Source organism: Homo sapiens, chromosome 20 (genome assembly GCF_000001405.40).
Source record: "Homo sapiens chromosome 20, GRCh38.p14 Primary Assembly".
Classification (NCBI taxonomy): Eukaryota; Metazoa; Chordata; class Mammalia; order Primates; family Hominidae; genus Homo; species Homo sapiens.
Genome location: NC_000020.11, coordinates 58,037,399 through 58,064,770, shown reverse-complemented (window position 1 = coordinate 58,064,770; position 27,372 = coordinate 58,037,399). Strand labels below are relative to the sequence as shown.

Below are 27,372 nucleotides of genomic sequence, written 5' to 3'. Positions count from 1 at the left end.
TGTGGGATTGGGCACTTTTCCAGGGGGAGGCTGAGTCTCTTTCTAGAGATTGAAAACTGCCAATGGGCTCTTGGGCAGCCTGAGAAAAGAGGGGACCATTTTACTGGTCCCATTTCTCAGAAGAGGCCACGGAGGCAAGGCCTAAAGGCTGCATGTGTGTGTGTTTGGGGGACATAAAATAATTCAGTGTTGGTGTCAACCGATCCCCAACTGTGGAACAAGACGTGGGAGATGGCACCTCAGTCTTCCAAGAGTGTTTAACCAATTTGGTGAGATGTCAATCTGATGCACCCTGAAGAGAGTAAGAGTTTTCATCCACCGTAACTTACAAGATCCCACAGTAGCAGGACTGGGGCTAGGTTGAGACAAGTGAGACCCCCAGGAGCTTAGATGTAAGGAGGTGCTCATTCTCAGGGGCGTGCAAGTGTCCCATTACATGACCCTGGCACCACTGGGAAAAGTCAATTGACTCTATAATTAAAGGTTTATTTTTTGACTTTATTCTATTGACCTGCTTATCTAATCTTATACCAATACCATACTGTCTTGAATACTGCAGCTTTCTAGTAAATTTTGAAATCTGGTAGTGTCAGTCCACCAACTTTGTTCTTCATTTTCTTTAAAGTTGTTTTGACTGTTCTAGCTCCTTTGTATTACCATATGAACTTTGGAATTAGCTTGCTCATTTCTACAAGAAGCCTGCTAGGATTTTGATTAAAATTTTTTTGAATTGGCATGGTGCGGTGGCTCACGCCTATAATCCCAGCACTTTAGGAGGCCAAGGCAGGTGGATCACTTGAGGCCAGGAGTTCGAGACCAGCCTGGCCAACATAGCGAAACCCTATTTCTACTAAAAGTACAAAAATTAGTCGGGTGTGGGGGCGCACGCCTGTAATCCCAGCTACTCAGAAAACTGGGTTTGCTGTGAGCTGAGATTGCGCCACTGTACTCCAGCCTGCGTGACAGAAGGAGAGACTCTGTTTCAAAAACAAACAAACAAACAAACAAACAAACAAACACTTAAAATAAAAGAATTGTATTGCATTGAATCTACGGATCAACTTGGGGAGAATTGAAAGCTTAACATTATCTCGTCTTTCAATCCATGAACACCTATATTTTTCTATTTATTTAGGTCTTTAATTTCTACTACAATATTTTGTATATTTAAGTTGATAGGTCCTGCCCATCTTTTATTCAACTGACCATTAAGTAGTTCATATTTTTGCCACTATTGTAATTGTCCACTCCTAGCATGTCCAAATGCAATTGATTTTTCTGTATTTACTTTGCATCTTTTGAAATTGCCAGATACTCTCTTTCTAGCTTTTTTTCGGTGGATTCCTTAGTATTTTCTACTTATGCAATCATATAATCTGAGAAAAAAAGACAAATTTACTTCTTTCTTTTCTATCTGTGTGCCTTTTATTACTTTTCTTGCCTTATTGCACTAGCTAGAACTTTCAGTACAAAGTTGAATACAGTACAAAGTGAGATCACACATCTTTGCTTTGTTCCTGATCTTTGGGGTAGAGTAGTCAGTCTTCTACCATTAACTATGTTGTTAGTAATACATTTTCCGTAGATGCCTTTATCATGTAGAAGAAATTCTCTTTTATTCCTAGTTTGATGAGAGTTTTTTAAAACATCAGAAATGATTGTTGGATTTTTTGCCTCTGTTGAAATGATTACATGTTTGTTTGTTTTTTTCTTTTTCAGAATGTGAATATGTCGAATTACATTGATAGATTTTTGAATGTTAAACCAACCCTGCATTCCTTGGATAAACTCTACATTTCCTAACATAGACTCTTTTATATATTGTTGGGTTTGGTTTGCCAACATTTTGCTTAGGATTTTTTCATCAATGAAAAAATATTGATCTTCCTTTTCTCGGTAATGTCTTTGGTTTTGTTTTCAGATGTCATGCTGGCCTCATAAAGGCTGTTGGAGAGTATTTCATCCTCCTCACTGTCTTGGAAGAATATGATAGAATTGGAAATTTTTTTCCCTTAAATGTTTGGAACAATTCACCAGTGAATGGACCTGAAGTTTTTTTTTGTGATAAGGTTTATAACTGCAAACTCCATTTCTTTAATAGATAGAGGGCTATTCAGGTTATTTCTTGTAGCTTGAACTTTGATAGTTTTGATTTTTCAACAACTTTGTTATTTCATTTAAATTCTCAAATTCATTGGCATGAAGTTGTTTATTCTATTCTCTTATTATTTTTTAAATAATCTATAGAATTTCTCATTTGTCTCATGTGTCCTTCTAATTTCAGACATTTGTAATTCATGTATTCTTTTTTTTTTTTCCTGCTCAATCTGGCTACAGGTCTTTTGCTTTTTTTTTGATCTTTCAAAGATCCAGTTTTTGTTTTCATTTTTGTTGATTGATTTTTTCTGTTTTCTGTTTCATTGATTTTTGTCCCTAGCTTTATTATTTCCTTTTCTCTGCTTACTGTAGTGTTAATTTTCTCTTTTTTCCCCTTACTTTCTTAAGGTGGAGGCTGAAGTCATTGATTTAGGAACTTTCTTCCTTTCTTACACACACATTTAATGCTGTGAATTTCTCTCTATGCACTTCTTTGGCTGTATCCTACAAATTTTGATACATTGTTTTTAAATTTTAATGCAGTTCAACATACTTTCTAATTTCCATTTTGATTTCTCCTTTTAATTTCTAGGTTTTTAAAAGTGTTTAATTAAGTTGCCAAATAATTTGTGATTTTCTAGGTATCTTTCTGTTACCAGTTTCTAGTTTAGTTCCATTGTGGTCACAGAACATAGTTTTCATGACTTGAATTTTTTAAAATTTATTGAGACATATTTGGTTTAGTATGTTCTATCTTGGTAAATATTTTGAGACCAGTTAGAAATAACATGCAATTTGATGTTGTTGGCTAGAGTGTTATATAAATATCAATTAGGTTAAGTTGGTTGATAGTTATATAGTTAATCAAGTTTTCTATTTCCCTACTGATATTCTATTTATTCGTTGAGAGAGGGGTATTGACATTTATGACTATACCTGTGTATTTGTTGATTTCTCTTTGCAGTTTTATAAGATTTTGCTTCATGTATTTGAAGCTCTGTTATTAAGTGCCTAAACACTTAGGATCATTATGTCTTCCTAATGAATTGATCTCTTCTATTGTTAAAAATCAACTCTATCTTTGGTAATATTCTTTGCTCTAAAATGAACTTTGTCATATACATATACATATACATATATATACACATATACATATATATATACACAAACACACACACATATATTTTAGAGAGAGGGTCTCCCTCTGTCACCCAGGTTGGAGTGCAGTGGCAAGATAATAGCTCCCTGCAGCCTTGAACTCCTAGGTACAAGTGATCTTCCTACCTTGGCCTCCCAAGTAGTTGGGACTACAGGCACGCACCACCACGCCCAGCTAATATTTACATATTTTGTGAAGATGGGGTCTTGCTTTGTTGCCCAGGCTGTTCTCAAACTCCTAGGCTCAAGCAATCCTCCTGCCTCAGGCTGCTAAATTGTTGGGATGACAGGTGTGAGGCACTGTGCCTGACCCCATCTATTGCTAACATAGCCATTCCAGTGTTCTTTTGATTATTGTTTGCATCATATATCTTTCCTCATCCTTTTACTTTTAATCTATTGTGTCTTTATATTTAAAGGGGGTTGCTTAGTGTCAGCTTATAGTTGGGGCTTGAATAATAATCCAATCTGGCAATCTCTGCCTTTTAACTGGGGTGTTTAGACAATTTAAAGTTAATGTGATATTAATATATTTGAGTTTAAATTTATCACCTTGCAATTTGTTTTCTATTTCTTATCTGTTCTTTGTTCCCCCTTTCTTCCTTTTCTGCCTTCTTTTAGATTGTTTTTTACTATATCATTTATCTCCTTTGTTGGCTTTTTAATCCATTACTGTTTGTTATTTTAGTAATTGCCTTAGCATTTATAGCATATATCTTCTACTCATCACAGTCTGACTTCAGGTAAAATGATATCACTCTACATATAGTATAACAACTTGAAATTTACTTTCATTTCTTTCCTCCTGGTATTTGAAGTATTACTGTAATACACCTTACATATATATATTGTAATATATATCATCAATATATGTATATATGATATACATATATAATCAACTCCATAATACATTGGTATTGTATTACTTTAAACATTCAGTTATTTTAAAAAGAAGTTTGAAAAATAAAAATGTTCTTATTTATCCACATAGTTACCATTTTTGGTGCTCTTCACTCCTTTGTGTGGATTTGGATTTCTGTCTGGTATTGCTTTCCTTCCACCTGAGGGACTTTCTTTAACATTCGTTGCACTGTGGATGTGTTGGTGATACATTCTTTCAGCATTTGTATGTCTGAAGAAAGCATTAGATCCCTTTGCCTGTGCAATATATTTTTTCTGGGTATAGAATTCTGTGTTTTATTTATTCTTCTTCCAGTGCTGTAAAGATGTTGCTCCACTGTCCTTTGGCTTCTGTCATCTTTATGTTTATTCTTCTTTATGGAAGGTGCTGTATTCTTGTGGCTGCTCTTAAGATTTTTTATTTATCACTTGTTTTATGTTATTTAATCATGAGGTGTCTTGTAGTTTTCTTCACATTTCTTGGGCTTGGTGTTGGTTGAACTTTTAGTTCTGAGGGTTTATATTTTTCATCAGATTTGAAAAAAATTCAACCAATTTTTTTTCAAATATTTTTTCTCTTCCCCTCTTTCTTTGGATATTCCAATTATACAAATTTTAGGCCACCTGAATTTGTCTCAGAAGTAACTGACACTCTGCTCATTTTCTTTTTCATTTATGTTTCTTTGTGTGGTCCTTTTTGGTTAGTTTATATTGTTATGATTTCAAGCTCACTGATTTTCTTTGTTCTGTGTTGCCTAATCTGCCATTAATCCCAGACAGTGTATCTAACAGATTTTTCCTATACGCTGTATATTGTTGAGAGTCTAGATTTTTTTGGTCTTTTCCTTTTTAAAGAGCATCAGGCTTTATTATGACAAGGAGTTAATTTCCTGGGGGATCAGCTTGAGTCACTATTGGCTTGATTTTAAGTTTTCTTGGGGTAGGCATAGAGTACCCTGTACTCTACTGCAGAAATGGATTGTGTGGGCTGTCCACTGACTAAGGGTGTTCGATGACGTCTCCACTCTGGCTGGTCTGAGCTCTAATGTCCCTTAGCACTGCACAACCTCCAGAACCTCCACTTCCCACCTGTGCCCCAGCTCCCCATTACCTGTTCCATGCTGGCCTCACAGAAATGTGCCCCGTGCATAGGCAGCTCAGTATTCAGCCAAACACTGAAGGAGTCCCTTGTGTAGATTTCTGGAGCTCCTTTGTGCAACTACATCCTCTGAAGTTCTCTGCCCTGCAAACTCCAGCTGTCTCAGGGCCCCAAATGTCAACTCCAGTTTCCTCTGCCCAGTGAGAGAACTGTTCTGTTTGGGCTCCACTTTCTTATACCAGAGTTTGCCAAGATCCCCCCGTGGGAGAGCCTGAGTGAGTGTGGGGTTTGCCTATGTGAAAACTTCTCTCAGGGATCACAGCTCTAAGCTGTGTGTTGGCAGCAGTTGCTTCATATAAATACCTAGTTCTTTCATTGTTTATGCTGAGAGAGTAAGTCTACTACCCTTACACCATGAGGGCTGGACCTGGAAGCTTGCTTTTCCATTTTGATATTTAATTGAGGCCGTGTGTTTGCAGCACAGGGAGCATGCTGAAGGATGAGCTCACTGTGCTGCCCTGCCTGGAAGTCCTTTGCAGTTTCCAGGAGTTTCACAGAAGCTTCTCAGAGGTGTTGGCTGAATGACATTTGGCTGCACAGAAGGGCCTTCCGTTTGCCTGCCCTGGGGCTCTGTGGTGTGCCCTTTCCTGCTTTTCCATGGCCTCCACCACTAGGGTCTTCCCAGGAGGGATGAGGCCACCTTCACAGTGTCACCAAGCTCACACTTCACCCACCCTTCCTCTGGTAAAGGGAGGCAAAGAGACAGGAATCTAAATCAGAAAGACAAAGAGTCCCCTGTGATTCAGGAAACCAGCTTTCTCCCAGAATCACCATCCTGGTAGCCTGCTGTGCATGGCTGAGACCAGCTGGTCCAGACCAAGGTGGGTTGGAGGATGACGGAGGAACCAGAACAGCAGTGATGGCTCCCGGGACAGGGCGATCTTGGAGTGTGATAGGGTTTGGCTGTGTTCCCACCCAGATCTCACCTTGAAGCGGAATAATCCCCAGGTGTGAAGGGTGGGGGCAGGTGGAGATAACTGAATCATGGAGGCAGTTTCCCCCATACTGTTCTTGTGGTAGTGAATAAGTCTCGTAAGATTTGATGGTTACATAAACAGGAGCTCTCCTGCACAAGCTCCCTTGCTGGCCACCATGTAAGACGTCCCTTTGCTCTTCCTTCGTCTTCCACCGTGATTGTGAGGTCTCCCTAGCGATATGGAACTGTGAGTCCATTAGACCTCTTTCCTTTGTAAATTACTCAGTCTCGGGTATGTCTTTATTAGCAGCATGAGAGCAGACTAATACAGAGTGTTTTCTCTGGCCCAGAAGCAGAGCAGCAGCTAGGACCACAGGCCACAGGTGGGATCTGTGATGGGGATCCCGACGGGGACTTTTGGATCTTTAGGGGATCAGTAGAAACCAGCTTGGTCAAGGTAAGTGATATTTCAAACCATTACTATTACTGATTTCTACTATTTTGTGGAGTGGCTACTGTTTGTGAACCACCATGCTAATTCCTTTTACCTGCATGAGGTGGGCACTCTTATTATCTCTGTTCTCCAGGTGAGGAAATTGAATCTGAGAGGTAAATTAACCTGCCCAAGGTTACTTAGCTAGAATATGGCTGTGGAGCAGGGATTTGAACTATTAGCCATGACACTGGGTTGCCTTTGTGTTCATTAAGATTAGAAAGGTTTTTAGGTATGAACATGTAGTTGGGGGAAAGGAGAGACAAGGGAATCAGCACCTAATTAACACCTGTAAGAAAACAAATGACAGTGTATTTATTGATCCTTTGGTACACTTTTCTTTTTCTTCACATTTTATCATTTCTGAAATTTGGATTTGTTTTACATAGCTGGTATGTCATGGTTTAATTGGTGAAATCTTTCTCTTTCCTAGTGATGCTTAAAATTACAGCATTTCTTACAATCTATGGCAGGATTGGCAAAACTTTTCTGCAAAGGGCCAGATGGTAAATGTTTTAGGCTTTGTGAACTAAATTGTCTCTGTCACAACTACTCAACTCTGCCGGCCATTGTAGTGTAAAAGCGGTACAGACACCGAGAAACTGAATAGGCATGGCTGTGTTCTAATACAGCGGTATTTGCAAAAATGGGGGAAAGGTGAGATTTGGACTCTTGAGCTCTGGCATCTTGGATTTGCTGAAATATAGGTGTAAAAATCATCATGGCTACATCAGCAACAGCAGTTAGTAGGCACTAAATGATGTCTGATCTTATCTGAGCTTCACTCAGCCCAATATTGCAATGCTATTACTATACCCATGCTCTGAATGAGAAAACAGCTTCAGAGAGCTTAAGGCACCTGCCTTAGGCCCCTCAGCAGTGAGTGGGAGGGAGGGAACTGGATGCAGCCTGTCACCAGCTGGCCCAGGTGGTGACCTCTGAGACTGAGGCAGGCAAGCCCTCTCCAGTAGGATCTCTCACCACGTTCCCCCACCCCAACATCTTATTTACATCCAGCATCTCATGCTGTCATATTCACTTAGGCGTCAGCTGACAATGGGACACACCACTTGTTTTTTTGGAAGAACCACCACCTCGACCCAGCACAGTGGCTCATGTCTGTAATCCCAGCACTTTGGGAGGCTGGGGCAGGTGGATCACCTGAGGTCAGAAGTTCGAGACCAGCCTGGCCAACATGGCGAAACCTTGTCTCTACTAAAAATACAAAATTAGCCAGGCATGGTGGCGCATGTCTGTAATCCCAGCTACTCGGATCACTTGAACCTGAGAGGCGAAGGCTGCAGTGAGTCAAGATTGTACCATTGAGAGCCAGCCTGGGCGACAAGAGTGAAACTCCATCTCAAAAAAAAAGAAAAAAAAAAAAAAGAAAGAAACAAGAACCACCACCTCTTCATCTTTTTGGATTAAGAACCGTGTATGGAAAAAGAATAGAGAAAGGAAACTGACTGTATGCAGATTAAGATGCGCATAGCTTAATCGGCTTGAGGCTCTGTTAGCCTATCACGCATTTGGGTTGGTTTCCAGTCTCCATGAGCCAGGCCTCGTGCTGGTGCTGAAGACGCTGCAGATCCATAGGTCTAGGCCCTGACTGTCAGATAGCTCAGGCCTTTTGGAAAGCAGACCCAGAAACAGGATCTTTCTCTTTGGTGATGGTAGACTCTTGTACAGTCTAGGGAGAGTGGCAAGAGGGGGCAGTGTGAAAACCCCTATCTCAGAGGAAGCCCTTTGCTACGTAGTTTACTTTTGGCTCTGAAGCAGCAGGTGAGGGTCCACGAGGTGATGCAGGACTTGGGCTCTGGGTCCAAGTGTCTGTCCTGCTACTTACAAGCCGACCCTGGCAAGCCACTTTAGCCCCTGTGCTGAGTTTCCTCATTGGTAAAAAGGGCATAGTAATAGCATCTAACTCCTAGGATCACACTGAGGATTCATTGCAAGAAGGTCCTGAGATAGCTCTTACTATCCCAGAGGGGCGGCTGTGAGCTGTTTTTGATCGATGAATTCTAGTCTGTGATTCTACAAGTTCTTTTCTAGATCACGCACCTGATGAATCCAGTTTTCCAGTCTGGGGTTCCACTGTTGTGAAACTACAGCATAAAATAGAAGGAAAGTGCAACTGATTATAAAGGCAACCTCGACCCCCATGGACGCTGTTACGAGTCTTGGGCAATCTGCGTCCGAGGCCAAGGTTAAGTACCTGAACTGGGTCATCAAAGTCAGTGGCTTTGAATGCAGTTCTCTGTCCAGCAGTGTGCTCTAGGGCAAGTTCCTCGGTTTCCCAGAGTGTAAAAGGAAGAATACAAAAGTCCCTGCCTTAGCAGATTGCTATGCGGGTAGATGAGCTAATTCATGGGGAGCCACACTGGCCTGTTGGGAGCGACCCCAGCATGAGCTCTCGGGATTGTCATTACTTTTGTTTGTGGTTGTTCCTGTTGATGATTTAATGAGGTACTGTGCAAAACCACAGTGACCCGCACTGAATAAGTGCTTCATAAATGGTCACCACCACTGTCATCATTACGACTGTTGCTCTCTGCAGTGGGTGTAGTCGCAGCCAGGCACTAACATGTGGGTCTAAGGAGAAGAGCCTTAGATCCGTTTAGATGTGCTGTGTTCCTAGGTTAAGCCAACATGGTAAATGGAAAGTTCCACCAGGAAGAGCCTAGCATTGGAGCAGGCAGCTTGAGTTCACTCTGGGCCTTGTTTCCCCGGGGGTCAGCCCAGCCCAGCTGCTCTCAGCCCTGTACGCTGCCCTGCTTCCCTTGCTGCTGTCTCAGATGCCCATGTCCCCTCCTTCCTCAGCCCCCAGGCTGCAGACCCGCCTCTCCCTGTTCCCTCATTCTCACCATTGTTCCTGGGCCCCAACCCAGCCAGGAGGACAGCAAACAGGATGCTCTGGCAGGAGCAGAGATTAGGCTGGGATTAGGAGTCCTCAGCCTGGAGGGCTTCGGGCTTGTTTAAGGAAAAGGCGGGGGAGCCTGGGGAAGTTCATTGCCCCTGGAAGGAGGCCCACGAGCTGGGCTGAGCCTGGGCGAGTTGCCCTGACCCAGAGAAGAGACTTGAGAGAGAGCTTTGATCAGATTCTCTGGAAGTCTCCCCTGGAGAAAGCCCAGCTCCTCGGCCCCTCCCGTCTGGCCCCGATGCCTCCTTAAGGGCCAGCTCAGACTCCCAGACTGGTTTGTTCTCTGTGGCTCTACCACTCCTCCCAGACCGCCTGGGGGCCCTGCTATCCTCAGCCTCCTCCTAGCCTGCCTCTCTGTGCAGTGACCCACTGCTTCCTCTGCCGTGTGTCCTTCCCGGAGCCTGTGGTGCTGTGGAAGGGGATTTACCTGCTTCTGGTTGCTCTGACTGGGCTGTGTGCTTCTGAAATAGGAACTGCTGAGGGAGGATCTCCTCGTGGGGAGAGTGGGGGCTCTGGAGCCCAGTTTGAACCCTAGCTCAGCTGCTTCTCAGCCTTTGGCAAGCTGCGCTCTGCTCCTCAGCTCTTCTCTCTGTAAAATGAGGATAACATACATCCCTGCCTGGTAGCGTTGTGTGAGGACTTTGATAGGTATAAAGTGCTTAGACTATTACCTGGCACATAGTAGGTGCTCAACAAATGCTGGTTGTTATAATTATTATTATTGCTGCTGCTGTTATTATCATGTCTGTATCCTCCAGAGTCCAGCACAGGCTTGGCCCAAGGCAGGTGTGTGCTATGAACTCGATTAGTAAGCTTGTGCCTTCCTAGCAAGGACCTTCAGCTGTTCACCCCAAAATAGCCTCTGGGTGGGGTTTGTGGATATTAGAGCCAGGGACCCTTACATCTTTTCAGTTATCCCTGCATCCCCAAGGGTTCCCAAGGGCATTAAGTTTTCCACCTCTCTCCCTCCCTCCCTCCCTCTCTACTCTGGTCTTCTCTTTTCTTCCCATTGACATCCTTGTGGGTGTCTCTGATTCTGTCTTTGGACTTAGTTTCTAACAGAGAAACTGATCTTTAAAAAGTAAATAAACTAACTGCTAACTGCCCTTAGGAAGCCCAGGAAGCCCTGAGTGGTGCTGGGGCTCCTTAGCCTCCTGGATCACAGGGCTGAGGATCCTGGCCTGTCCACCAGCGAGTGCCTTCTGCCCTGTCTTCCACGGGACACACGCAGTGCTCTGGGTCCCAAACCAGCCTCATGAACCCGTCTCTCACTGACTTAGGAATGTTTCTTTCATGAGGACCACTGATTTTGCCCAAGGGTCCTGTCCTTGACAAACAAGTCATTTGGTCATGTGTTGGCCCTGGTGAACCATGACTCCTGCAGGATCCAAAGGGGCTGCCCCAGGACGGGCACCTTGGGCAGTGACGTCACAAGCTACCAAATGTCAGGAGACTGGGCAGCCTCAGACAGCGCACTTTGGACTTCATTCTCCTTGGTTCCTAACAATTAGAAAGCTGCAGAAGCATCCACTTGTCTCCACTGGAAGACCTGAGCTTTATAAATAGGTCTTGAAAGCAGCCCCAGGCTCTATCGCAGTTGCCCTTGGGTGGGATGCACACGGAGATGGTCCCTGGCCATTGGGGTTAATCCAGGACAGCTCTGGGAGGAGCCTGTTCTCCACCTTGGTGTTAATATCCATTCCTGGAATCACTGGGCTGGTCACTGACCGGGGCTCTGTGTGAGGCTGTGCTGCTGGGTTCGAGTGTGACTTTGCCACTTACCAGGTAGAGTGACCTTAAACAAGCCTCTTAACCTCTCTGAGCCTCAGTTGCCTCCTATGATACATGGGAATAATAATAGTATTTGTCCTTTAGGATGCTGAGGAGAGCTGACACATAAATAAAAATACATATTATTACTTATATTACTTCTATTATCATTCTAAATTCAAGACCAAACTGGCTATTTAAAACATATTTTTATTAGGAAACTGAGTTCACTTATAATAGTCCTCCTATGAATGGTCTAGCTATAGACCAATTACTCTTTCCAATTCCTTGACCTAGGTGGGGTTTGCCCTGAGTCAGTCTGTAAACGAACTGCATCGCAATTAAACGTTATTATCCAACCACTCAGAGCTGCTTGAGTCAGTGACAGTCACTTGTTCCTCACCCCTACCACCTCCACAAATATCTTTTCTCTTTTCTCATTAGCAGAATGTTAGCTGGTTACAGAGCCATCTGGGCTAAGACTACATTTGCTAGGCAACCTTGCAGCTGGGAGTGACCATGTGGTCATGTATTAGCCAATGGGCATGAGCAGAACCAATGTGGACAAATTTCTGGTTAGGTCCTTAAAGGGGTGGAACCTGCTCTAAACTACTTTTCCCCCCTCCCCAGGAAAGGGGACATGGTGGTTAGTTGTTTGGGGCCATGTAGAAAGGGCTACACCCTAGTGGGGGTGGAAAAATAAGACAGAGGGAGCCTTGGTGCCCAGCACCATAGAACTGCCTTATCATCCATGGATGGTTACCAGGGAGAGAAAGTCACTTCTCTTTTAAGCCACTGTTGTGTTGGACATCTCTACCTTAGCCTGTGTCATGGCTATGTATATTTTGTCCTTTATGACCATATACATGGATGAGCTGAAATTCACAGTGCTGGTTAACAGCTGCACTAAATCACAGAGTTGGCATAAAACTTCATCTTAAAAAAAACCACATTTGAAACTTTTATGAGTGATTTATAGTAAATAGTGTTCCTTTCTCATTCATAAACTTATTTTCAGAAATATATTTTTACAAAATGATTAGACTTATTTCTTTTTAAAAATTGTATCATTTTAAATTTTATGTTTTAAAATACGGCAAATATTTCCTTGTCAAGGTACTTACTTTTATGATTGCCTTTTAAAAAATACTAAGATTTAATTTACGTATATAAAATTCACCTTTTTAAAGTGTATATACAATTCAGTGGTTTTTAGTTTATTCGCATGGTTGTGCAACCATCACCTCAATTCCAAAACTTTATCATCCCTAAAAGAAACTCCGCGCCATTAGCATTCTTGATTTTCTCCTTCCCCCAGCTCCAGGTCAATACTTTTCTACTTCCTGTCTCAATGGGTTTACCTATTATGGACATTTCATATAAATGAATCATATAATATGTGGCCTTTTGTGTTTGGCTTCTTTCACTGAGCATGTTTTTAAGGTTCATCCATGTTGTGGCATGTTTCGGTGCTCCATTTCTTTACATGGTTGAATAATGTCCCATTGAATGGCTAGATCACACTTTTTAAAAATCCATTCATCGATGATGTACAATTGGGTTCTTTCTACCTCTTGGCTATTGTGAGTGAACACTCATGTACAAGTTTTTGGGTGAGCATATATTTTAAGGTCTCTTAGCGACCTTAGGAGTGGAATTGCTGTGTTGTATGGTAACTCTATATTTAACATTTTGAGGCATTGTCAAACTGTTTTCCAAAGGGCCTGCATCCTTTTAGATTTCACTAGCAAGGTATGTGGGTTTCAGTTTCTCCACATCCTCACCAACACTTGTTATTGTTCATCTTTCTAATTACAGTAGGTGTGAATGTGTGTGGTGTGAAGTATTATCTCATTGTGATTTTGATTTACTTTTCCCTAATGACTAATAGTGTTGAGTATATATATATATGCTCTTTGTGTATTTTCTTTAGAGATATGTCTATTTGATTCCTTTACCCAAGTTTTGATTGGGTGACTTTGTTGTTAATTTGTAAAGAGTTCTTTGTAGATTCTGGATACAAGACTCTAATCCAATACATGATTTACAAATATTTTCTCCCATTCTGTGGGTTGTCTTTTCACTTTCTTGATCATGTCCATTGAAGCAAAAAAGGTTTTAATTTTGATGAAATACAATCTATTTTTTCAAAGGCTCGTGCTTTAGCTGTTAAAGCTAATAAACTGCTGCCAAATCCAAAGTTAGGGATTGTGTTGAATCTGCATATCAATTTGGGGGGTATCACCATTTTAGCAATATTAAGCCTTTCAATCCATGAACATAGCAACTATTTAGGTTTTAAAAATTTTCTCTAAGTAATATTTTATAGTTTTTGATGTATATGTCTTGAACTTTTTTGTTAGATTTATTTATAAGTATTTTATTTTTCTGATGCTATTGTAAGTGGAATTATTTTATTGGATTCATTTTTTGGATTGTTCATTGCTAATGTGTGGGAGTACAATTGATTTTTGTATATTGATCTTGTACCTTATAATCTTTCTGAACTTGTTCATGAACTCTCATAGTTTATTGGCAAAATTCTTAGGATTTTATATATGCAAGATCATGTCATCTTCAAATAGAGGTGGCTTTACTTCTTTCCTTATAGATGCCTTTTATTTCATTTTTTTGGTCTAATTGCTTGCTAGAACCTCCAGTACAATTGCAATGGCAAAAGTAGACATCCTTGTCTTGTTCCTGATCTTATGGGGAAAGCACCCAGTCTTTCACGATTAAGTATCATATTAGCTTAGACTTTTTCATAGGTGCCCTTTATCCAGTTGAAGAAGTTTCCTACTATTTAAAGTGTGTTGAGTATTTTTGTCTTGACAAGTATTTTTGTCTTGACAGGAGTATTTTGTCTCAATTTTATCAGATACGTTTTCTGTATCTACTGAAAAGATCAGGTGATTTTCCCCCTTAATTCTATAATATGGTGTGTTACATTGTTTTTCATGGGTGGCCACTGAAATGTCTGCTCAGTTAGCTTACTGGGGAGCTCAAGAGTGGACAGACATTTCCTCAAATGCCTGGACTAATAAGTCTCCCAATTTTTGCCACAGTACTCTGTGTGCATGCTGGGCATACTTTCAATACTTGGTCAGGAAATTGGCAACTCTGCCCTAACTTTCACTTTCTACTTGCGTAGACCCTCAGGTCATACAGAATTGAGAGCACAGAGCCTTCTCAAGTCTCTCCTGAGCATGCCTACAGCCCTACACATGCACGGGGCTTTCTAGATTCTCAGGAATATGTTGGAACTTTGCAAAGCCCCTACGGACATCTTATTTGCCAGTTTTTTCTTTTTAAATTTTTTGGTTAGCCCACACTTTTCCCAACTGTTGCTCACCATCTTAGGCAGTCAGAAAGCTAAGCAGTTACTTTTAATTGTTTTCAGCAAATGCTTAGACTTTTCAAAGTGGGCAAAATTCAAGTAAGACCTACAGTTTACTTGCTATGGGTTGGCAAATACATGTCAGTTATTCATCATTACAGTATCTTACACAATAGTTTCACGACCCTAAGAATGCTCTTCATTCATTCCTACCCCCTACCTTTGAACCTCTGGCAACCACTGATCTTGGTCAGAAGGCAAGACAACCTTGCAAGTAGAGTTCTCCAGGGACCCACCAGACAAGTCAAGTCGTAACAGTTCTCTGGGAATGAGGTTTGAAGGGGCTACAATCTTGTTTTGTCCCCTACAGTAGCTGTCAGGCCACCGGTTTTTACCCTGATTGCAGGGCTGATTTCAACCTGATTTCAAGGCTAACTCAGAGCAGAAGAGAAGGGGATGGAAATACGGAAAGTTAAAATGCCATGAAGCTCCCTGTTCTTACTGAAATTCAGCCTTTCTTCCTGAATGCATGCAATCTAGATTGCTTCAAGCCTTTGGTTAATTTCCAGAATTCTGAAAAAGTTGATTCCGGAATTTTTGCCAGTTTTTGTCATGAGTTTCATGGAATAGAGAAGTTTCCATTCCTGCTGCTACTTCTATGATTTCCTTTTATTCATGGTAAATGAATCTGAATATCCATTTTTGATGATTATATCAAGCTTCCCTTTTAAATAAATGTATGTATGTTTTAAAAAAGTGAGTGGAGGAAGCCAGTCTGAAAAGGCTACATACTATGTGATTCTGACTCTATGACATTCTGGGAAGGCAAAACTATGGAGACAATAAAAATATTAGTGGTTGCCAGGGGTTCAAGGGTAGGGGGTAGGAATGAATGAGTGAACAGAGAGCATTTTTAGGGTGGTGAAACTATTCTGTAAGATACTGTAATGATGGATATATGACATGAATTTGTTAACCCATAGAACGGTACAACACAGAGTGAACCTTCAAGAAAACTGTAGGCATTAGTTAATGATAATGTATTAGTCTTGGTTCATCAAGTGTACCACATGTACCAAACAAATGCAAGATGTTAATAATAGGGAAAATGTGTGCAGGGAGGAGGTATATGAGAACTCTCTGTACTTTCTGTTCGGTTTTTCTGTAAATCTAAAACTGCTCTAAAAAATAAGACCTACTAAAACTTTTAAAAGGGTTGATTTTAGGAAATATATTTGGCATAGAATGATAGGTGGTGTAAGAGTATGGCAAAAATCATGTGGGAGGTATGTGGGTGACTGACATTTGGGAAACATGATGTAAGAAATATGTGTTAAGACTGGGGTCTCTGTAATGCAAGAGAATGGATAAAGGACTTTAACACATGAATCAAAACAAAGATTATTTAATATGCAACACCAAGTACAGCTGGTTGTGAGTGTTCTCTGCTTCCAAGGTTAAGAATGACTTGGGAAAATAACAGGAGACCAGAAAAAAAAAAAAAAGACAAACATCTAATACAAGGCATCCACTGGCCAACAGAAAAGCTCACCGGGAGTTGAGAGAGGAGACAGGTAAGACTTGTTGGAAAGACCCAGTGAAAAACCAAGGAGGCTGTGAAAAGCATGAATTGGACGATAAGAATCTTTTAGCTTCCCAAGAGGGCTCTAACCACCTGACATTGGCAGGCTTCATGCTTCTTGCCAGTACCATGGACAGCAGCCAGAAATAGCTTCATGACCCAGCAGGCCAAGGGTTTCTTGTCTTCATTCCAGGTTGTCTGGTTTTGTGTTAGTTTCTGCTTGGAACACAAGGATGAGCAAGGAGTTCATCTGCTAGTGGGCGACCTGACCCTCTCACAAGGAGCTAAACATGAGGCCAGGAAGCATGGGGTGCCCTGGATATAGCTTAGGAATGCTCAGTCCAAACTACCACTTGCCCAAGGTCACAGATCTAGGGACAGAGCATTGCCCCTCTTGGAGTCTCCCTTTCCTCTTCTGCAAAAAGAGTTTGATCCTCAACCAAGCCTGTGAGTGGCACAGAGTAGGTGAGGACAGATATTCAGTGAAAGGCCTTCCAAAGCATCCTTCCTTGGGAGCAGGGCAGTGACCATGCTTATCTTGTTTGGTGCTGTATTTTGCTTCCTAGCACAACATCTGGAACATAGGTGACACTTCAGCAAATGTTCAAGGGAGAAAGAAAGGAGGGGAAGGAGGAAAGCTTGCTCCTCTCCCTGTGCTCGGCCTGTAGTACAGGACCTGACACCCAGGACTCCACCGCCTCATCCCTCCTTCCTGCACAGCCGTGGCTCTCTTACAGACAACAGATGCGAGGCTTAGGAGGCAGCCTTATCTTGGAGATCGAGACCATCCTGGCTAACACGGTGAAACCCCATCTCTACTGAAAATACAAAAAAAAAAAAAAAATTAGCCAGGCGCGGTGGCTCACGCCTGTAATCCCAGCACTTTGGGAGGCTGAGGCGAGTGGATCATGAGGTCAGGAGATGGAGACCATCCCGGCTAACATGGTGAAACCCCGTCTCTACTAAAAATACAAAAAAAAAAAAAAGCCAGGCGTGTTGGCTGGCGCCTGTAGTCCCAGCTATTTGGGAGGCTGAGGCAGGAGAATGGCATGAACCCGGGAGGCGGGGCTTGCAGTGAGCCGAGATTGCACCACTCCACTCCAGCCTGGGCGACAGAGCAAGACTCTGTCTCAAAAAAAAAAAAAAAAAGGAGGCAGCCTTATCTTGCTATTTGACTCATCTTTGGCAGTGGATGGAGCTCACGAGGGGCTGTAGGAGGCTTATCCCCAGGGCAGGGCCCACTATGAGGCATGGAGGGGAAGGAACCTTGAGCATGTCCCTTCACTCCGTCTCTCAGCCCGGGAGCCTGCCTTTCAGAATCGGTTCAGAAGCATTGCTCCCACTGTATTTCTAATTGAAGACACCTGGTGAGGCCCAGTCCCTGGGGAGTCTGGTTTGCAGGAGGCCAGCCCGCCAGGCTTTTGTGATGAAGTCACAGACCCTTGATGTATTATTCAGCCTGGCTACCAATCAATGCCAGATGCCATCCATCCTCCGCTGGTTCCCCTGCAGGGCCCTCTGCTGTTTTGGAAGCAAGTGCTAAAATCTAAGGAGAAAGAGTCTGCCTTTGTCTCATCGCAGCATAAATACCTGGCCCCAGTTGCCGGGGAGTAATGTTTGTTCCACATTGACTGATTTTGTTATTTTCGGTTTTCTTGCTGGGTGTGTCATCTCTTGCCCTTTTAGCCTTGGTGAGGGAAGAAGCTAACTTTCTCAGCTGCAGGTAAAAGTAAGGCTAGCTCAGACTTTCAGCAAAGTTGTGTCTAGTTTTGTTCCCACATGTAGAAGAAAATGTGATCAAAATGGACATGCCGTGGAAAAAAAATCAGAAATGTCTCCCAGGTACTGGCCAAATACCTGCAGTGTACAAGGTGTGAGAGAAGTCATGTGTGGTGGGGGTTGGGCACTGCAGGAGGAGTCAAGGCCTGGATTCCCATCCTATCTCTGCCACCTCTGAGCTGGGGTGACTTTGGCCAAGTCATTCAGTTTCGTTTTATAGATTCAGCCACTGAGGCACGAAGTAAGATGAATCCTATCTGCCCATGGGGCTTTTGTGCAGACAAAATCCAGCAGCAGCTTCTGCAGCACGTGCTGGGTCAGGCTGGCTTGGCTCTGTGGTCTGGCGGCTATGTGACTCTGGGAAAGTGACTTCTCCCCTGTGTGTCTCAGTTTCCTCATCTATGAGACAAGGATAATTATTGCACCTCCCTTCCAGAGTGGTGAGGGTGAAATGCATTACTCTCTGGAAAGCACTCAGAACAGTGCCTGGAATACAGTAAGTGCTTAATAAAGGCTGGCTTCCGTGATTAATAGTAGTATTAATGCTGCTAGTTAAAGCTACTGGTAGACAATTTCAATAACTGTTCCACTCACGGCAGTGAATGTTATATTCATGATCGAATCCCATCTTCACAACAACCCCAGAGGGAAGGAAATGGGGCCTCAGGAGGAGGAAGGTCTGAATTTCTTGCTCCTCATTGTGTAGGTGTCAAACAGCTTTCCTGGTCTGGCCGGAAAAATAAGCACAAAGTATGAAAAATAATGGCACTGGACTCTGCATTATCTAGGACCATAGGTGCTAATATGAGCCCGCACATTAGCAGTGGCCCAGCTATTGGAGTGGGCTCAGTACGCCCAATCCTGGCCCTCTGTCCCGTGCTCCTGTCTGCCAGGAACCTGCAGGGGCTGCATCCTCTGGCTCGTCAGGGAGACGCCTGGCCCCTGGAGCTAATGTGTCCCTCCTCATCCCTCCCATATGGACTTGCTTTGTTCCCTTATGCAGTTGTATTATCTGACTGTTCTTTCTCATCTATGTGTTTAGTTGTTTATCTTCTATCTTCCCCGTGGCCAAGTTTCATGAGAACAGGAACCATGTTTTATGTTTTATTCCCCTCTGTATCTTTAGAGCCCAGAAGCATCCTTGGCACACAGTAGGTGCTTATGAAACTGATTAAACGGATGCCTGACTCTCCTGGGAGTGCTGTGTAAGCTGCTGTGGGTGTGGCCTGGCGAGGAGGGGTAGGGTCTGGAGAAAGCAGGGGACATTTGGGCTGTTCAGCTTCTGCCGGCCTGTCCAGACCCTCTCGCCGTCCTTCCTCATCCTCCTGCTGCCCTGGGAGGAGGCTGGCCTGGGAGGACCATGTCAATGGGTTCTTGTGAACTCTGGCCTTCAGTGGCATTTGGCCAAAGGCCTAACATTCATGTGCAGGCTTAGCTGTGATTAGCAAGAGGAACAGGGAAAGGCATGCATACTCTGTCTTCCCGAAAACAGAAGTCATTATTTTAAGATTCTCATTCTTTCTCCCTCCCTTACTGAGTTGAGCAACACAGAGGTGAGAAAGTAGGCATGAAGCCACTTTGTAAATGGAGTGCCCCATGAATGTACTAAGTTATTACCAATGATAACATCGGTCACACTGCTCAGCATTTAGCTACTGCCTGCTGTTTACCTAGTGCGTGGTCCTCCTCCCCACGACTGCTACTGGGGCCCTGTCTTCTGCCCCTGGGGGAGGCACCCTCAGGGGATCATTTGCCTTTGGGCTGGGGGCTGGGGCAGTGGCTTTGGTGCCCCTAGACCTGGGTTTGAATCTTGGCCTCACCTCTGTCACCGTGAGGCCTGAGGCACGATGTTTTTACCTTCCTCTCCATCATTTCCCCTCCTGGAAAATGGGAGCCATGATAGTCCATTGTCATGAGCTTGCAAATGGGTTGGCCTGGAGGTGCAGCCTGTGGAAGCCACCTGTTGTTTCCTGTGTACCCTGGTCGACAGGCCCTGCAATGCACAATGCTGTTTTCCATTTTCCCCTTGCCGGTCACTTCTGTATTTTTCCAGAAAGAGCCTAGTCTGCTTTGACCCTCAGACTCTGGAACCCAGAGCTCCAAATGCAACTGCCCTCCGTCCTTCCCCTTCTCTGCTCCCCCAGTTTCCATCTGCCTGATGAATCCTTCTAATAAGCCACTGGGGAACACCGGCACCTGGGGCTATGGTGACTGCATCTGCATTTGCCTCCACTCGTCTGTACTCTGCTGGTGCCTCTGGGCCTCGGAAGGCCCCCAGGTTTGGAAAAATCAATGACAGCACACTGCTTTGCCCCTGGCACTCACAAACTCTGGTGAATATTCCCTCATGGACTCTCTTTGGGCAGAAGCCTGATAGCTGAGCTCTTCTGTGAAACACTCACCCCGGGGGCTGGAAGGCTGCCCCCAACCCAGGCAGTGGGGACGCAGAAAAGCTCTTGGCTGTAACCCCTCCCTCTGCTGCACACCCTCCTCAGATGGCTCTTTCTTCTCCAGGAAGGACTGGGGCTCCTTGTGGCCCAAATAGTCCAAAACACCCCTTTCAGCACCACACGGCCTCTGTGCTACTTCCCAGAGGGCTGAATGACCTTTTTACAATGCAAATCTGATCCGACCACCCCAGGTTTAAAACACGTCAATCTTAGGATAATGACCAAAACCTTTGCTCTTGCCCAAGCGTCTCTGCACAGTGGTCCACCCTGGCAACTCCCCAGCTCCATGACATAAACTTTCCTGCCCCCTACCCCCATGCCAGCCTTCCCTCTCCTCCCCAAAGCCTCCCCGAGAGCCTGCACCTGTGCCTTCTCCTCACCCAGGCAACCCCACCATCCCCCCGGATCCTAGGAGCTCATCCTGGAGGAACACCCCTTCCTGACTTGCTGCCCGGGGCCCCACCCTGCCCTGACATCCTCTCATGGGTTGGGGCAGCTCCCTCTTTTAGCAGGGATTTCAGCTGCAATATTTAATTTACTTCTTTGATCCCTGCATTGATGTCTGTCCCTCTCAGCTGGACTGAGAGGGAGAACGTGGAGTCGTCATCGGGCTCTTCAAAAGCAGCTGCTGAAGTGGAATTTGGGGCCTGACATATTATTAGGGACCAACAGCTGTCAAAGGAAGTGGACGGGAGAAGCAGGAATAGCAAGAGGGCCGGGGGGTGGGTGGCTGAGGCCAGCTGGCAAGAGGCTCAGCCGGCAGCTGATCCTGCCCTCCCAGCCCAGCCTTCGGGCCCAGCCTGCCCCAGTCTGTGCCCGGCAGCCCCAGGAAGGGGTGACCTTTTGAAGGACACTCCCACAGTTGGGCAGTCCTTCCTTGAAGGGGGCCTGGGGCACATGGCCCTGCATGGCACGCATGGTGGATCCAGGTCTGCATCCATAGCTCACAAGGGGACGTCAGTCCAGCTGGGTGCCCCTATTTCTGCCCTGGGGTGTGGGGCAGATGCCTATTTTCTCATTTCCTCATGGGCACCATGTGCTCTGGCAGCTGCCTTGGTGTCCTGGTGGAGAGAAGTGAGCAAAACCCTTCACCCCTGTAACTAGGGTTCCCAAACCATGTCCAGCTGCCCAGTCTGCCCCCTCTTGCCAAGAGTTGATATCCAACAGGTTGGTGGTCAGTTACAATTCCATGCCTCTGTTGGTTTCTTTGATTAAAAGGATCTTCACTCTTGCTTCATTTTTCAAATCTATCAGTTTCCTTGCCCCAGCCCCACATCTGCCTGTACACTAGGGACTGGCTCATCCCTGTCACTCTTTCCACCACCAACACAAAATTCTTCTTGTCTTTTCAGATGTGGCAATAGAACTTGCAAAAGTATGTGTTTGTCTTTTTCACAGTTCTGGGGAGGAGCAGAGTGGGAAAGCCCAGGAGCTCAGCTCTCATTTCCCTCTGCATTTTCAATTTGCATCATAAGCATCAAAGGACTTTTTCCTTCCCAAGGAGATTTCTGTTAGTAATATTATCTTGGCCAGCCAGGAAAGAGGAGAGAAGATTTCTCTAAGCCCAAACCCAAGTATATCTGAGTGTACTTCTCTCTCATCCCCCTACGGCTCCCCACTAGAGATTTAAATGCAATATATGCCAACTTCATTTCTATTTGAAAAGTGACTTTCATTCCAAACATATCCCATAACACTTTACACAGTTAAATAATCACATTTACAAAAATGTGAAATGGGAGATAAAGCAACCTGGATCAACTGTAGCATATCATAGAGTGAAGCAGGAGAGAGGAGGGTGTTTTGCAAAAATTGCCAGGTAGAAAACAGAAAAATAGGAGCTGATAATTAACTAGAGATTAATTTTTTTACTGGCCAATTTTGAAAATGTTTTAAATAGCCAATTAACTAGCTTAAAAGAATCCCCTTGTTTAGCTAAGACATTTCAACCCCTGCAGAAGTTGGGAATAGTAGCCACATCAGCTCCTATTGCAATAACTACTGTTTGTTGAGCACTTACTGCATCCAGGTTCCTTATACATGGTGTGTATTCCGTTTTCATGCTGCTGATAAAGACATACCCAAGACTGGGCAATTTACAAAAGAAAGAGGTTTAATTGGACTTACAGTTCCACATGGCTGGGGAGGCCTCACAATCATGGAAGAAGGCAAGGAGGAGCAAGTCACATCTTACGTGGATGGCAGCAGGCAAAGAGAGACTGCAGGGAAACTCAGATCTCATGAGACTTATTCACTATCACAAGAACAGCACCAGAAAAACGCACCCCTATGATTCAATTACCTCCCACCAGGTCCCTCCCACAACACATGGGAATTCACGATTTGGGTGAGATTTGGGTGGGGACACAGCCAAACCATATCATGGTGCAACCCTCAAACAACCCTGTGGAGTTGGGATTCAATTTCTATTTTACAGACAAGGGAACTGAGACAGGGAGCTGGCACCTGCCCACTGCCAGCATGGCTTATGTCCACACTCCCTCTTCTGCTCCCCCATTTAATGTTTGTCTGAGCCTAGAAGAATCTACCAGTCTCATTCCTGATTGTCCGTTCTGGCTTGGTCCTTATTCTAGACTCATAGGAAGCCATGAGCCCACTGAGGAGCTCCTCCAATAATTTCCTTGGTGGGTGACACCTGGGCTGAAATCCAAGGTCTGGTGTTTGCATGCCATGTGATCCCAGGTAAGGAACCTGGGAGATGGAGACAATGATCACCTTGTTGGGTTTTTCTCAAAAATGAGATGAATAATAACCATGTCTGGTACACTGCTGGCAGTAATTTTTATTAATATGGCTCTTCACATGTTGAAAGATGCTTTTGACTTCAAGGAAATGTTAGATACGTCATGATATTGAACAGGAGCATCCCAGCTACCCTGGCTAGTGTTTTTCACAGTATGCTGAGAGTCCCATGAAAGGCTTGGAACACACACAGATTCCTAGGTCCCACTCGAGGCCTCTGAGTCTCAATAGTAGGGGCAAGGCCCCAAAGTCTGCATTCTCAAGGGTCTCCCCAGGCTGGTGATTCTTATGCCTGCCCAGGCTGAGAACCCTGCAGCATCACAGGTCCGTGGGGACAAGGCCAGTGCTGGGTCAGTGGGTTAACCTGGCAGAAAAGAATGCTGAGTCGAAGGGCCTTGGAATGCAGAATCTCCTTCAACCCCCGTAGCAGCTGATGTCACAGGTCTTAGCCCGGCAGAAGGAGGATGGAGCAGGCCAAACAATGCCCACTGGGCTGAGGGCTTTGCTTCCCTTGCAAAGCACAAGACGTGAAATAATGATTAACTCTTCCCACAGCCAGGGAGCAGGTGGTGACCTCGTTACCCCATCACCTTCCCCAAAGTCAGCCTCAACTATCCAAGCCCGCTCTCCATTTAACTTCCAAATAGTCACAGAGCTGCAAGTTTAGATGGAAAAAGTTAAGCCCTCAGTGCAGCGAGTTATCAAGTGAAGGCAGTGAGGTGTTGAGGAAAGAACGGGAACTTCAGAAGCAGCCCCCGTCACTGCCGCATCAGCACACATGCCTCAGGTACCTGCTATTGGCTCCGTGCAGGCCTCTCAGGAAGGAGTGGTGGACATGAAAGATGTGGTCCCTGCTCTCCCTGTGGGATTTAGAATCTAGTGTGTGCATGTGTGTGTGTGGGGTGGGGGGTGGGGGTGTGTAGGGATACCAACACGTCACAGAGGACTTACGGCATGGTCTGATAAGTGCTAGGAGAAAGATGGAAGCAATAGAGACTAGGATGCTGGAAGGACCAGAGGCGAGGGAGAGAGGGAGGGAGAGGGAGAGAACGTGAAGGAATGAGAATCACTGGGGCGTGGTTGAACATCAGGCTGCTAAGGCAGGTGAGGGTGGGTGATAAGATCCTTTGGAAGCCACATCAAGGAAACTGTACTTTCTCCCCCAGAGCACTGGGGAGCCACGGAAGGATACTAAGCCTGGCAGGGGCATGATCAGATTTGAGTTTTAGGAAGGCGCCTCTGACTGCAGGGTGGTGTGTGGATTGGAAGAAACAAGGGCAGAGGCGGGGTTAGGATCTTCTAGGTGAGTGTGGGCATGTCCTGCCTCCCTTCTCACTGGCCGCCTGGCCTCAGTTCCAGGGAAGGTCACTCGCCTCACTCGGGCATCACCGCCTCTTCTGTGCAGGAGTTTTGGGAAGACTAAATGGTCACGCATGTCCTGGCCTGGCACACCATGTGCGTCATAAATGGCAGCGATTATTCTGTGGCTGCTCTTGGCTCCGTTCAGGGCCGGGCTGTCTGGGGGACCTCCTTGATGTCCTTGTTTGTGCCTCGGGGGCTGGACACGGCCAGCCCACGCTGGCGTCGGGATCTGCCAGCTCTTCTGTGCCCAGATAATCACTTCCGCACCCGAGGGCTCGGCGTTGGTGGTGGCTGCTCTCTGCTCTCTCCTGACAATGGCCTTTCTTTGCAGAAGCCCCTGTGCGGCCCACACTCCCCCGGGAGCCAAGCCCTGGCCATTCTCACAGAAACATGTCTTTAATAGCTGGCTGTGACACTCGCTTCTGGAAGGGCCGTGAACTTCCCGCAGTCCAAGGGCAGGGTTTATGAGACAAAGGGGGATTTTAGAGCCGATGGTCAGGCATCCCACAGCCCTGCTGTCCTCTTCCCAGGCCCTCCCTGGGTCCGTCCTCTTTGTTCAGGGTTCAAGACCAGAGGCTGCCAACTTTCTAACTGAAGCTCTGGCAGTGGCAGCTGGTCAACATCCTAATAGCTCAACAAGCTGGAAAAAAATGAGAGAGGGGCCACGCAGAAGGCAACAGGACTGAACTCAATTAACTGTTCACTCAACAACCCCCTGGCAGAGGGTGAGGCGGGATTTCAGGGGTGCTGGAAAGAGATTCTGTTTTTTTAAAATCTGGATAACACTGGGCTGCCTGAGACCCTCAAAGGGTGGGCTTTCACAGGGAAAAATCTCTCAAGTCTTCAGACACTTCTTGGGAGCTGGGAACTTCAGATGAAGCTGGCCAAGGAAGAGGAAATTCACCACTTCGGAGAACAATGCAAATAATAATTTATCAGCACAGAGGAGGCTTCCATCTTTTCCCTGGCTCACTGACTGCTTGTGTGGCCTCAAGGTGTTGCTCACACAATTCCAACCTGAATCCACAGTTCGGATTCTGGCTGTGAGCTACCAGGTGAATGATGCCAGGGAGCCGGCCCAGTCTTGAGCGTCCGCAGCCCCTTTTGCTGGCCGAGGTGTTGAAGTGAAGATGAAATGCACTAACGAAAACCAAGAGCTGAGTAGTAACGATGTGATAATAAGTGTCATGAATGCATGGGTTCACGTTGGCATATGAAACAAATATGGAAGGGCACCTCCCACGTGCCAGTGGAATCAAGACCTGTGCCAGGTGCCAGGAAGTGCCAGGTGCCAGGAAGAAGCATTGGTAGGAAGAAGTGTTGGGGTGGAGGAGGGTGGTCAAGGATGGTGGTCGGTGTGGTTTAACTGAGGAAGGGACCCTTGAACTTGGTCCTGAAGGCAGTAGATGAGGACAAGCCATGAGGACCCTGGGGAGAGATTGTTCGGGGCAGGAGAGTCTGCAGGTGCAAAGGCCCTGGGGTAGGAGAAAGTGTGGTGTGTTTGAGGATCAGCAAGGGGGCTGAGGGGCAGGAGTGGGGTGAGTGGGAGAGCATGGAGGAGGTGAGGTCAGAGAGGTGACATGATGGGGAGCGTGGGGGTGCAGGGCCTGAGAGCCATGATGAGGACTTTGGCTGTCAGAGAGAACGGGAAGCCAGCAGGGGTTAAAGACACTTGTCATTGAGCACCTGCGGTGTGCCATGCCCCAAGCCAGCCTCTAGGGATCCAAGCGTGGGCAGGCAGAGCCCAGGGGGTACTTTCCTCCCAAGGCCTCCAAGGCCATCTTTGAGCACTGCCTCACTGGATCCTCCCAGCCCCTGTGCAGCAGCTCACACCCATTTGGCAGCTGAAGAAACCGTGGCCAAAGGGGTGGGCTGACTCCCTGTGCCCGGTGTTTGGTGTTGCCCCCCAGACCCCAGTTTCTCCTCGTGCTCCATGTCCTCGAGTCTATTTTGGTGCTCTGAGAACAGTCTTCCCTGCATTTCCTGTACTGACATCCTGTATTGTTGCTCATGATTTTTTCTGCCTCAACACACCTGCTACTGGTAAATAGCACTTTTTTGTTTTTGTTAAAGGGAGGGGTGTTTAGGAGGATCCTGTTTTTGTGAATCCAACACTGCTCTATCTCCAAATCCTATACTACCTGTGACAAGCTGGGTGGCGTTCTGTTCCAACTCACTTCAGGGGCTGGTGGGTGGTTGTCGTAATTTGAGGGGCATGTCCCAGGACTCTCAGGTAGGAGAGCAGGTTGCAGCCTCTGTATTTCTCCCCAGACCAGCAGGCTCCATGGTGATGAAACACCAGTGGGGTATACCCAGCAATGTCTCTGCCCACTTACAGGGGCCATGAGGATGCAGCCCAGGGGCCTTAGGCCAACAGGTGGGAAGGGGATGATGAGGTTTAATGAATGAGTCTATTGCTTTGTGAAAGAAACTGAGGCAAAAAATGCCAATTATTTCTCCCCTTGTGGAATGTTGGAATGTTCTGGATACACATGCCGGCTGCTTTATTCGATAGGTACATATGGATGCCCTTTGTATTCCAGTCACTGTTTTAGGTTCTGGGAATATAGTGGTTAATAAGACAGAAAAATCCAAATGTAGACATCTTTCTCTTCTGGGACATCCAATTAAAAGCTTTAAGATTAAACAAGTAAAAAATAGACATACTTCTTTTTTTCCTATTAGA

The 27,372-nt window shown here is 45.2% G+C and overlaps 3 annotated features.

Annotated features, from left to right (window-relative positions):
* Window positions 16,344-16,638: a silencer, noted in NCBI's record as "tiled region #7266; HepG2 Repressive non-DNase unmatched - State 20:ReprD, and K562 Repressive non-DNase unmatched - State 10:DNaseD". NCBI's record gives its function as "represses a minimal TATA promoter and a strong SV40 promoter by Sharpr-MPRA in HepG2 and K562 cells {active_cell/tissue: HepG2 | K562}" and the evidence as "EXISTENCE:reporter gene assay evidence [ECO:0000049][PMID:27701403]".
* Window positions 25,921-26,420: an enhancer, noted in NCBI's record as "H3K4me1 hESC enhancer chr20:56613407-56613906 (GRCh37/hg19 assembly coordinates)". NCBI's record gives its function as "activates a minimal SCP1, AML or CMV promoter by ChIP-STARR-seq in naive H9 embryonic stem cells {active_cell/tissue: H9 hESC(naive)}" and the evidence as "EXISTENCE:reporter gene assay evidence [ECO:0000049][PMID:30033119]".
* Window positions 26,421-26,922: an enhancer, noted in NCBI's record as "H3K4me1 hESC enhancer chr20:56612905-56613406 (GRCh37/hg19 assembly coordinates)". NCBI's record gives its function as "activates a minimal SCP1, AML or CMV promoter by ChIP-STARR-seq in naive H9 embryonic stem cells {active_cell/tissue: H9 hESC(naive)}" and the evidence as "EXISTENCE:reporter gene assay evidence [ECO:0000049][PMID:30033119]".